Source organism: Homo sapiens, chromosome 11, assembly GCF_000001405.40.
Source record: "Homo sapiens chromosome 11, GRCh38.p14 Primary Assembly".
Taxonomy (NCBI): domain Eukaryota; kingdom Metazoa; phylum Chordata; class Mammalia; order Primates; family Hominidae; genus Homo; species Homo sapiens.
In genome coordinates, this window is record NC_000011.10 from 129,913,046 (window position 1) to 129,925,701 (window position 12,656).

Here is a 12,656-nt window from a genome sequence, read left to right on the forward strand (position 1 = left end):
CGAGACTCCATCTCAAAAAAAAAAAATAGCCAGGCATGGTGGCATGCCTGTAATCCGAGCTACTGATGAGGCTGAGGTGGGAGGAATATCTGAGCCTGGGAGGCGGAGGTTGCAGTGAGCCATGATTGTGCCACTGCACTCCAGCCTGGGTGACAATAGTGAGACCCTGTCTCCAAAAAAAAAAAAAAAAAAAAACCAAAAACAATATCCCAATATATGCCAACAGAAATAGAAGAATGGAAGGGATTTCAGCTCCAATGCTGCACTCGCAGATAGCCCACACCTAGAACACGCCATACAACAGGATAAAAAAAGAGCGTTTAGAGAAATATGCTTCTCACACATAAGCCACTATTAGATTCTGGAAGAGAAGGAGAGAGAGGGAAGATAGTTCCTGACAATAAGCTGAAAAAGAAGTTGTCAGGAATCAAAAATTTCAGTTACATTTAATGATCTACCCTTTATCAATTAAAAGAGATCAAAGAAATTCGTTTTTAGTTTGTCACCATTAACCCACTATGACAGTGGTTCTTAACCTTTTATATATCATAAACATCTTTGAAAAAGTAGCTAAAGTACAGGCCCTTTTTCTAGAACAATGTACCTATACATCATAATTTACAGGCAACTTCAGGGACTCATATAGCTTCCTCCAAAGCCTGAAGTTAAAAACCCTCCATAAGAAAAACAAGACAAAGAATAGTCAACGACAGTGGCAACTTCCAATTTCCTGTCCCCATGTTAGTTTTAAATTTTCAGAGACCAAATGATTTCAAAGCAACAAGTTTGTTCATTTGTGCCTTGGGGACACTTCTCCTCAGTGTAATTAAATGAAACAATAGTTCTGGGAGAATCACTTTCATTTAGTTCCTTAGTCAATAAGAATGAGTTATTCATTATCTGGTAGAAGGAACACAGTTATACCTCTATACTACAAAGGCACTGACTGATATGCAGAGATTGACTCAATTTTTTTTTTTGAGTCCTGTTCTGTCGCCCAGGCTGGAGTGCAATGGTGTGATCTCAGCTCACTGCAACCTCCGCCTCCCAGGTTCAAGCAATTCTCCTGCCCCAGCTTCCTGAGTAGCTGGGATTACAGGCATCCGCCACCATGCCCAGCTAATTTTTGTATTTTTAGTAGAGACGAGATTTTGCCATGTTGGCCAGGCTGGTCTCGAACTCCTGACCTCAAGTGATCTGCCCGCCTCAGCCTCCCAAAAGTGCTGGGATTACAGGCATGAGCCACTGCGCCCAGCCATCAATATTATGCTTTATGACCTCTCTTTGATATAAGACATTTGATACGCAGGTCGTGATTTATCAAACTGGCTCATTACCAAGCAGCCAACCAGGATGGTTAAAGATAAGGATCAGAAGAGGGTCAGAAACAGGTGCTGTGGCTACTGTCCTGCCACAGCACAGGAGGCTTGTATATGCTGGAACCTAAAATTTCCTGACTACTATAGACAGAAATCTCTTACATTGCTAAGGCCAGAGGCCTCATCAGCCTGAAAGGGGAAGGGGCAGTTGTAAAATGCCCAAGGCTCAGAACTTCCACGCAGAAGGACATTACATAGATCCCAGCCCCAGCTCTGAGAATGAGGTGCTAGTGGCAACACGGCATTCATAAGGCAAAGGGAAACCAAGGCACGCAGTACCGAGGCCACTTGAACCACTTGCAGCTGTATGTGCTGAGGCTGCTGGAGGCCAGACGCCGACTGCGACACAGGGATGTACTGAATTCTCTGGTAATCCCCTTGTGGCGTTCGGTAGTCTGTCGTTAAGGTCTGGGACAGTTCTGTCATTGCTTGGGTGAGCAGGTCCGTCGTCACCACAGTCTCTCCAGTGGCGCTGTCTGTAGTCAAAACCGCTGGGGTGGCACTGATCACAGCTGTCGTCAGTGGTGTGTGTATGGTGTTGGAGAGCTGGGCGAACTCTGGATGCTTCTTTCGAATGTGCTGGACCATCTTGGTCTGAAAAAGCAAGGCAAAAAACAAGAATAATTATTAGAATTTGTGATTTTCCGTTTTTCTCATATGTAAATCCTCCAAAGATTCCTAAAGTCTTTTATGTCTTAAAAAAAGAAAAATCAGAGCAACACTGACTCTATGCCTGTACTTCCTGGGGTAACATAATGCTATGAAAGCAGGGAAGAGGGTGGGGAAGAAGTAAAACCTCACCTGACCTCACACCATCAGCAAGGTCTCAATACCCCCCCCAAATAGTACCTGCAGCAATCAATCACAATCCCCCCAGCCAAAATGACCTCCTTTGTAAAGCCACCACGTAACTTTCTATGTGGTGCTTCCAAAAGCCTGAACTCACCAACTGCAAGCACAGAACATTCAAACGTGAGGCCCTCCGCAGGCCAAGGGAAAAGGAAAACAGCCAGCTGCTCGGGCTGCTGTACGGCACTAATTCTGGGGAGGTCCACAGTATCCTCTTTCCATTCTCTGCTGTGCTCTCTGTTTACAGTGACTAGGACAACATCTCTTTCAGTCCCCCGTCAACTCAGAAGGAGCCATCCAGGCCATGTGGATGAGAAGCCACCTTTCCTTAAGAGATTCCTCGCATGGCGGTTTTGACCTTAGCTTTAGTCAGAAACTCCCCCTACCTTGCTGCTGTACTGCTTGGAGCAGTGGGGACAGCAGACGGGAGGGGTGGCGATGGTGCCCGTCAGCTGGGTGTGTGTGCTCAGCATGGGGTCTGGCTCTCCAGGACCAGCGGGTCGGAGCTTCCGAATGCTCGGTGGGAGCTCTGCTCCTGGGTGGTTCTTCAGAATGTGGGCTTTGCGCTTGCTGGCACTTTTATAAACCTGCAAATGTAAGCGCCTTGCCATGAAAGCAGTATACAGTTCCACTTTCTTGCTTAAAGCAAACTAACAATTTCATTATAAGAAAATGAGGAAAAGTATTCATGTAGCCCCAAATAAAATATATTAATATGTATATTAACAGATCTATTGAAGAGCAAGGATATACTACAAATTAGAATAAAATAAGAACATAATGTAGATATGATAGGTTTCTTTCTTTAATCTATAAATCTAAGATAATAACTGTGAAAATACCCTTTATCCTAAAGTTTAAAATTTGGATATGATACACAGACAGAGGAAGATAATTGTTTTTAAGGCCCATCCACCTCATATGAGAGCTGCCTGTGAAAGCTCTCATATGATGTACGCAGCTGAAGACCAGGAGCCAGAGAATCTTCCAAATGGCAACGTCAATAGCAACTGCTATCTATAGTGGGGAATCTATGTTAAAAAATGTTTCTCACTTTTAAGCTGATATAGCTACATTATATAAGGAAAGGATGGCTGGGTGTGGTGGCTCATGCCTATAATCCCAGCACTTTGGGAGGCCGAGGCGGGCGATCACCTGAGGGTGGATCATCCTGGCCAACATGGTGAAACCCTGTCTCTACTAAAAATACAAAAATTAGTTGGGCGTGGGGGCTGGCGCCTGTAATCCCAGCTACTCCAGAGGCAGAGGCAGGAGAATCGCTTGAACCCAGGCGGAAGTTGCAGTGAGCTGAGATCATGCCACTGCACTCCAGCCTGTGTAACAGAGCAAGACTCCATCTCAAAAAGTAAGAAAGGATATTACAGTGGAATAATAAATATATATTCTGTGTCTTTTCTGTAACTACATGAAAATAATGCAATAGTACAAGTAGAGTACTCCACCACAAAGCTTTCCCAACCCCCTCCACCTTATAGAAACCCCAAAACTACCATATATGTTATAGGTCATGATAAATGCTCTCATTTTAGAGCCTAGGAATTTGAAATTAATTCATACACTAAGCACTAGTAATAAACCTCTTCTTGTGTAACAAAAATCACAGAGAGAAGGGACAGTAAGAAAAATGAAGTCAACTATTTCTTAAGAAAAAAATTTGGCTTAAAATAAGGCTGTATTTCTAGTCCTTTCTTGTCTGAATGGAGACTACTGAGAGACAGGTAACCATCTGGTAAGAGTAACAAAAAAATCGTAGTATATATTTATAAATACGGACAAGTCAGCTCTAAGCAGGGAACCCCAGTGGCATACCAATATGAATATTTCCCTTTTACCTTATCGCAATACTGACAAAAGTAATCACGATTGGGTTTTATGATGGGTAGAGTTAACTCTGGCACCTCTTCTATCTTCATGTCTGGGTGTCTCTTCGATAAGTGATTTACCTAAAGGGAAAAGAAAGAACCAATGAGAAAAAGAGACCCCATTAACCAAACAGAAGCTACACGAATGCCTCTGATAATGACCGCCAGAAGCTGGAATTCTCTGAAGCAATGCCCCCAAATAATAAGGCATTTGGCCAGAACCAGGATCACCAGACCCCATCTGATGCCAAAGCACTCACAGTCATGGTTAACAGGAGTTAACAATAATTCACCAAACAATTGAAGGTGACTCACTGTGGTGAATTCAGCCATCAACAGTCTTTGGCTGAAAGAACTACTATTGGAAAAAGGAAAATTACACTGGTATGAATTTCTTTGGTGAGTTCTCCTCATGCAAACCTGTCTTTCATTATTTAATGCCCTAGTCTTACTAAGAACATGGAATGAGATACAGACTAAGGTTCTGAATTTTAAATATTGCTCTATGACTTTCCAGCACCTGGCAGAAATATATTCTGCACCCGTAACAAGGTCAAAATGAGTTGAGAGCAGAGCACTGGCTGTCTGATGCTTCAGCTAACCTGGATGCACATACCCTGCTTTGACGGAAAGCTTCCTTCTACTGCTGTTTGATATCTGGAAAAGAGAGGCATTAAAAGGAAACAGCTGGGGGCTGGGTGCAGTGGCTCACGCCTGTAATCCCAGCATTCTGGGAGGCTGAGGCAGGTGGATCACCTGAGGTCAGGAGTTTGAGACCAGCCTTGCCAAAATGGTGAAACCCCGTGTCTACTAAAAATACAAAAATTAGCCAGGCATGGTGGTGGGCACCTGTAATCCCAGCTACTCAGGAGGCTGAAGCAGGAGAATCGCTTGAACCTGGGAGGGGGAGGTTGCAGTGAGCTGAGATCACGCCATTTCACTCCAGCCTGGGCAACAGGAGCGAAATTCTGTCTCAAAAATAAATAAATAAAATAAAAGGGAACAGCTGGGGAGAAGGCAAATACCCCATTAAAAAAATACATTCAGGGACACAAAAGAGGGAACTAAAATAAGGTGAGAGCAGAGATTGAGATGGGTAAAGAAAAACAAAAGTAGTAATGAAAAGTGATTAAAAAAAAAAAAAGAAAAAGAAAAAGACCTCTTACAAGAATTGATCCAAAAAGCAGCAAGAGAGAGCAAAGGGAGACTAGAAAAGACAGAACTCCAAATTGGGAATCGTTTGCCTCTGTTTCTTCCCCTGGACATTGACAAAACCATTGATCGATATAACTTAGGACACAATGCAACACAAACGTCACCATCATCGACAGCAATGAGGTATGCTGGGAAGACAGAGGAACCCGCAGCCACTGGGCACTGACCAGCATGCCGCGCCGCCGGAAGCCCATCATGCACAGGCGGCACTTGAACGTGAAGCTGTCGTAGTCTGTGGACGTGATGCGGGGCTTGAACGTCTTGGAGCGGCTGATGCGGTCGGCTTTCTTGGCCTCCCTCTCAGGATTATGCATCCTCTGCATGTGTTCCCGTAGTTTGTCTTTTCGCTATTTGGAGAGTATTTTTGAAAACGGGGTAGACACGGGGGTAGAAAATTTTTAACTGAAGGGATCATTTTAAAAATCAATACAAATTAGCAGTCACCACAAGCCTCCAAGAGACATTTGAGTTGCTGGAACACTAGGACGCAGACATGTTAAAAGTGGCTGGGAGTTACTCTGTTCACTAGCAAATATGTGCATTCCAATGAACCTTGGTTTAAAATGACCATTAAATAGGAAAGATACATACCGACTTTTGAGAATAAAGACTGTGCATTTATGTAGAGGAGATTAAAGAGAACACGGAACAAGCCTGGCATAAAAGAACTTCAGACAAATTGATAACAGGTAATATTAGATTTTAGAAGCCAGTGTAGGCCGGGTGTGGTGGCTCATGCCTGTAATCCTAGCACTTTGGGAGGCCGACAAGGGCGGATCACCTGAGGTCAGGAGTTTGAGACCAGCCTGGCCAACATGGTGAAACCCTGTCTCTATGAAAAATATAAAAATTAGCTGGGTGTGGTGGCACACGTAATCCCAGCTACTCAGGAGGCTGAGGCAGGAGAATCACTTGAATCTGGGAGGTGGAGGCTGCACTGAGTTGAGATCACACCACTGCACTCCAGCCTGGGCAACAGAGCAAGGCTCTGTCAAAGAAAAAATGCCATGTGTATACTCAATTCCCACACCTTTCAGCAAACATTATATTTTTCTAAATCCCAAAAGAATTTAAGTAAGAATCTCTATCTTATGGATTTAGAACTTCTCACCTTACAGAATTAGAAGTTCAAGTAAACAAATCCATTGTTCACTATGATGGAGCATGGGGCCCAGGGCTCAGCTCCTGGTTTCACTATTTAGTGACACATGCTGATGTGAGTCCATGGAGAGAATCAGGCAGAGCCCATCCTGAATAAAAACAAAGTGCCAGCTCCCTGATCCAGTGAGGCTTTCTGCTCTGGGACACATGAATAAATTGTTATTAGTCCCATAAAGACTCTGAGGCTTTCTACAAATCCAGTTCTTCCCACCTTTCAGCACAGGGACTTTTTTAAGGACTTCATTTTTCAGCACATTTACTCAACAAATATTCCTTGAGGGCCTACCCAGTATCAGGGAGCAGGATAAGGGCCGAGCTCCAATGCTGGGCCTCCCTCACCCACCTGCCTCTTCTGCTGCAATGCATACGACCCAACTCTTTCTTCCTATCCCACCCGCCTTCATTTCTGGAAAGCCCAGGAGGGAATGTTCAGCGCTTTGTAGGCTACAGTAGGATTTGGATTAAGGACACTGCCCTACGTGACAGTATCTTTCTTTAGTGTGGATACAATGGCAAAGCACTGTTGCATTGCCACTTTTTTTCTTTTCCTTTTCCTCCAACTCCTCTCGCATTCCCACTTTTTTCTAAGCATCAACATTCACTAGTTCCCGTCTATTCCCTTTAAACAACCAACTGACCTTAACCGAATCATCACATAAATTTCAAAGCCTAACACAAATACCACACCATGCTATGCACATCGTGACGGGCACACATTTGTTGGATGCCAAATCTCCATGAGGCCTTTCCATCCTAACATCCCCCAAACCAAATCCGCTATCTGCCCCCACTCCTTCTGCCTAAGTCGTGCTTTTTGGTATCAGCGGTGTTCCCAAACATCTAGCCTCTCAAGCTGCAAATCTCCATTCCTTGCTGTCCACCCTTCCCCCTTCCACCCAAGTGCAAGTTCTTGTCAGCCTCCCATGACGCCTGTCTTGAACATGGCCCCTCTTCTCCACACCCACTGCCTCGGCCTGAATTAGCCCAGCTCTGAAACGCTGGTAAGTCTAATTACTTAGCACAGCGCGCTAGCTTAACCCGCTTCCCTGGCTTCCTCTTGCCACACCCTCCATCAGTCCCCTTCTCCCAATCTCCCGAACGTGGCATCACCACTCCCTGCTGCTCCCTCTGCTTGAGATGCCAATATTCCTCCCTCACTCCTCACCTCTCCCTTTCCCTAGCTGGCAAACTGTTTCCCACCCATGAATGGATTCAAAAGTGTCACCATATCTATGAGGTCTCCCCTATACCCCAAATCAGTGAATCCCTCTCACAGCATTTTTGAGATGGAGTCTCGCTCTGTCACCCAGGCTGGAGTACAATGGCATGATTTCGCCTCACCACAACCTCCGCCTCCCGGGTTCAAGTGATTCTCCTGCCTCAGCCTCCTGAGTAGCTGGGATAACAGTCATGCACCACCACGCCTGGCTACTTTTATATTTTTAGTAGAGATGGGCTTTCTCCATGTTGGTCAGGCTGGTCTCGAACTCCCAACCTCAGGTGATCTGCCCACCTTGGCCTCCCAAAGTGCTGGGATTACAGGCGTGAGCCACCGCACCCGGCCACTTTATTCTTTTCTCTATTCTAGTGTGAGCTCCCTGAAGTTGGAAGGTCCCACCTTGACTTCAATGCTGCCCTCATGGAGCTTATACTTAGCAGGACAGGCAAATGCAATACACAAATGCTATGACAGGGTCACCAGCAAAAGGCCCTGTGGGAATTGGTGGGAGAAGCAGCAGTTAATCCAGGGATCAGGAAATGCCCCATATGAAGTGACATTAGCCAGGTGAAGGAATATGACAGTTTGAAAATGCATTTCAAGTCAGGAGGAGGAGTGAGAGCAAGTGCAAAGGCCCAAGGAGAGAGAGTATGCCACACCTGGGTAAAGCTATGGAGTTCAGGTCACCCTGAGCACACGGGGAGGCAGGAACCAGAGAGGCTGGCAGGAGCCAGATCCTGTAGCATCTTAGAAGTAACAAGAACTTCGGGATTTATCTGCGTGAAGAGCTATTTAAGAGTTTTTCAGAAAGGACATGACATCAGAGCTGTTCTCTAGAAAAATTACTCTGATTCTACTTTGAAAATATGCCAGGAAGGTAGGTGGTAGTGGTTTTGTGCTGGGTCAACTTGGCTAAGGGGAACTACATTTGAAGGGAGTCTTCTTCCCAGCATGGTTCCGAGTTGGGGTTAGCCAAAGAGAAACTCAGACCAGCCTGGAAGGTGGAAAGGAAGCAGCTCCGTGCTGCTCTAGACGGTGTCATGTAGAGGTACCTGTGGGTCCCTACTTATCCTCTCTTTCCCACCCAGCCACCAGCTGTCTTCCTGACTGCCAGCCCTGCTGGCCAGCTCCACATCCACCACCAGATGCAGTGACACAGTCTTTCACAGACCACACCAGCTCTCCTTCCTGGGCCCCTCTGCAGGAGGAAGTGCTTGGTTCCCAGATTCCCAGGTAACTTCCCATTTGACCACCCAGACCAGTACTTCTGTGGGCATACTGCTGACTTCCGACCTCCCAGCTTCTCCCTTCAACCCTCACTTCTCCATCTTCTCCTATAATTAAGTTCTTAGTCCTGTAAGAAAATCTTCTTCTGTAACATTCACAGTGGCTTTGCTTCCCTGATTGAACTGTGGTTGAATATACTGGGTGAAAGTAAAAGAGAAAATGAAAGCAAGCAAAGAAATTTTAAAGAAATATTCCAAGGTGTTAAAATATGGTATCTGGCACAAAATGAAAAATCAAAAAACACTGGCTGGATGGGATGGATGGATGGCCAAACAGTATCGCAAAACAGGAATCCTTTTAGATATGATTTTTTTTAAGAACAGAAAAATCCCAGACCTACTTATACTTTTCACACTGGAGTTCTCTACGGAATTCTAAATTGTGCTGTTATATATTCAAAGCCATTAAATTATATTCTATAACACACTTACCATAAAACCAGCTTTGCAAACTCTATTTCTCTTTAATTTCTTTGCATCTGTTACAAATATACCCTTAGTTTTCCTCTCCTGAATCAATTTCTGATTCTTTTCCAGTTTCTATGAGAGTGTGACCTACAATCATTTTCAGCAGAAGGTCTTCCAGTGACATTTTTGCAGAATCACCTTATTTCCCAATGAAGCATATTTCATTGTTTTTACATTTATTTATTTAACTTTTATTTCTGGGTCCCCTGCAGGGTTTTGCTCGGCTTCTTCTAAGTTCCAGGTGGGTTACGGATACTCATAATGTTTTAATCTTTGAGGTCATTAACATTCTCCAAAGTAGTCTAAGCCTTCTCAGCATTCTTCAGATTTCCCACCTGAATTAGATGAGCGTCCTGCTGGCTGCAAGGCTCAATTACGGGCTCTTATACTTCATCAGTGCTCAACAAAAACCTCCTGATCTGAATGTTAAGTAAAGGTTTTGGTCTGTTAGGAAATCTCAATAGCGATTTAGTTATACTTGTCATTATACATTTGGATTCTTTTAGGAGATGATGCATTTTTACTCTACTTGTTTGGGGATTTGAATTAACTATTTTGAGGAAATGAGTAAGTTTTCCCCCTTAATTTTATAACTAAGTCAAACACAAGGCCCAAAGAGTATCTCAGGTCCAGTTCATCAGAGGTGGGTGATAAACTGATGAAATGAACAGGCATTTACCCTCAGCTTGCTATAATTCCAGTGGCCACGAGAACCACCTTGGGCTGTGCCTTGGTGTCATACCTTAAATTGCTTCCCACAGGTGGAACACAGGAAGTCTTTGCGGTCCGAATGCCGGAGCATGTGGAGTCGCAGTTTATCGGGGCGACAGAAGGCCTTGTCACACTCTGTGCACTGGTAGATCTTTTCTGAGTGGAAGCTGCGCACGTGTTTTTTCACCTGGTGATAAGAACCACAGGAAAATTCAGGGGACGCAGGCACCAAATGAAATGACCAAAGGCAGCTTGTCAACGCTAGAGGGAGCCAAACGCATTACCATGGGTTTTCATCAACCCCGCCGAGGAATCCAATCAGATGTGATAATTGGCCTCAATAACACATACTGTCCCTGTCACAAAGAAATAAAACAAGTAGCCAGAAAGCCTTAGAAATCCGAACCTCCCCGATGACTTGAAACGTGAGAGAGAGAGAGAGAGAGAGAGAGAGAGAGAGAGAGAGAGAGAGAGAGAGTGCTTGCTTGGTCAAAGCCCTGATCACTTGAAGCCCATTTTTTAAAGATAAAAAGCAAAAGTTCCTTTGGGTTTAAATGAAATCTTGCTAAAAAGGATCTATAGGAAGACAAAAACCAATTCTTCCTTACTTTTCTCCGTCTTTAATCTGCACAGAAGCAATTTAGCCCCTTTTGATCCTTTTACATCTTCTTATAAAATTAAGTTCTGAAGAATTAAAGACATGAATGAGTGGATACAGAAGACATTACCGGTTTGTGAGAGCAATATGACGCTGGCGTCACTTCTCAACTGGGACTTACTTCCCTTACTTTTAGATAAATAAAGGAATAGGGCTTCTGAACTCTCTTAGCCACACATATCCAATGAGAAAGAGCTGAGGATGGAAGCTAAGTAGTGAGTCTTACCAAACTATTCCTATAAGATAGTTTGCTTCATTATTTTTGGAGTTTCTTTTGCCATTAAATTATGCCTTAAAGCAATCTTTCTACTAGTTTGTGTGAAGTGAGAAAATTTCCAAGACTCTCAACACTAGCAGAACTAAAATTAAATCCCTAGTCTTCTTTTCCTTTGGTAATTGAAAAAGTGTATTTTTACAAAATGTTTCGTTATTCACTGACTAGCACAGGAAAATCTTATCACTTAAAGTCCAAATGAAATCATGAGTATTCTGAAATTTATCTTCACCCATTTTGCTCCAACAAAGAATACACTACAGGGGAGGAGGCAGTCGGTTCCTGATACAAAAGTATATTATATACCAACTTTCTCTTTGTTTCCTTCCAAAATGTATGGCCTTGGTTAAAGCAAGCAGGAAACCACAGTAGTAGTAGGGAGATGTTCCCAGCCCCTCAGAAACGGGAGTATGTCTTCTACAGGCTCGGTATATTTTATAAGCAATAGACATTGACATGGATTATGAAAGACTTTTTAAAAATTATAATAGATCTGGGTGTTTATTACTTGTAACTTAAACACTTCAATGTCAATGTCTGATCTGGACAATTAAGGGTCATAATAATCTTGTGTATAAAAGTAGTTTGATTGAAGAAATATTGTTCTCAATTGTAAAGTTGTTTCAAAGAAGGGATGGAAATGCAGGTGCTAGGCAGTCTCGGTTTTCCAAAAATCGAAGTTTCTTTTACCAAAAGAAGGAAGCAGACAGGAATCTCAGTAGTAGACACTCACCTGGATAAAATCTGGGAACCGTTTCTTACAAGTTGGGCAGGTGAAGTAGCCATCATTGATATGAATGGCCACATGATCTTTCAACAAATCAAGGCGGTCAAAGGATTCTGGGCAAAAAATGCAAGAGTAAGTCTTCTGGTCTGAGTGGAGCTTCATGTGGCTCTCCAAGGATGTGCTGCTGATGAAGCCCTTGTTACAGAGATCACAGGTCAGTGGGCAGTTCCCCTCCCGCCCATGGAAGCGTAAGTGCTGGTCCAGTTTGTCCTTTTCCCGGAAGGCCTTCCCACACTGCAAGCATTTAAAAGGCCGGAAGGACTTCCGAATAAACAGATGCTGAAGAGCTGCATTCTGAAAGACATACACAAATGTGATCATTTAGTGATGAAATTAAGAGTGCAACTGGATCACACTTTTACAGAGAAAGAGAGGATGATCTCTGCAATCACAGACTTCCCATAGAAGTTCAACTCTAGGACACACACAGTTGAAAGGAGATTTTTCTGGTGAAGACACTGAAAATGAAGCCATCCTCAAAGAAGCTCATCTTAAAGAGATGAAATTTTTTTGTGTTTTGTTTTACATCTATGTATGTGGGTTTTCTTTTGAAAGGGTTTAAGTAACAAAAAAAGTGTTCCCAATAGAAGACTTGTATAATAAAACAAATCCCACAGTGGAACAGGATAAAAATGGAAGATTTGGAGGAAAAGACTTAGGTTAAGTCACACATGCAGGAATCAGGCTGGAGCAAGTCAGTCAAATGTTACTTGTTGAAATCCATGAGAAAAAGAATTTGAAGCTTGATTAAAACATTTAGCAAAAA

The 12,656-nt window shown here is 43.5% G+C and overlaps 1 protein-coding gene across 17 annotated transcripts in view, besides 1 other annotated feature; it reads right to left on the reverse strand.

Moving 5' to 3' along the window:
• PRDM10 (PR/SET domain 10) overlaps positions 1-12,656 on the reverse strand; it is a 103,125-nt gene that overhangs the window by 13,335 nt on the left and 77,134 nt on the right. For 15 of the 17 annotated variants that reach the window (NM_001367891.1, NM_001367892.1, XM_047427312.1 and 12 more), the window contains 6 exons: positions 11,837-12,184; positions 10,203-10,358; positions 5,494-5,673; positions 4,082-4,192; positions 2,615-2,815; positions 1,659-1,973 (listed from right to left, as the gene is read on the reverse strand). In NM_001367891.1, coding sequence (NP_001354820.1) covers positions 1,659-1,973; positions 2,615-2,815; positions 4,082-4,192; positions 5,494-5,673; positions 10,203-10,358; positions 11,837-12,184 — 1,311 coding nt within the window. The remainder of the gene's footprint in view (positions 1-1,658; positions 1,974-2,614; positions 2,816-4,081; positions 4,193-5,493; positions 5,674-10,202; positions 10,359-11,836; positions 12,185-12,656) is intronic. The other 2 variants (NM_001367894.1, NM_001367890.1) reach the window with 1 other exon arrangement.
• Positions 10,416-10,515: a silencer, noted in NCBI's record as "silent region_4068". NCBI's record gives its function as "represses an Ori minimal core promoter by ATAC-STARR-seq in GM12878 lymphoblastoid cells {active_cell/tissue: GM12878}" and the evidence as "EXISTENCE:reporter gene assay evidence [ECO:0000049][PMID:35858748]".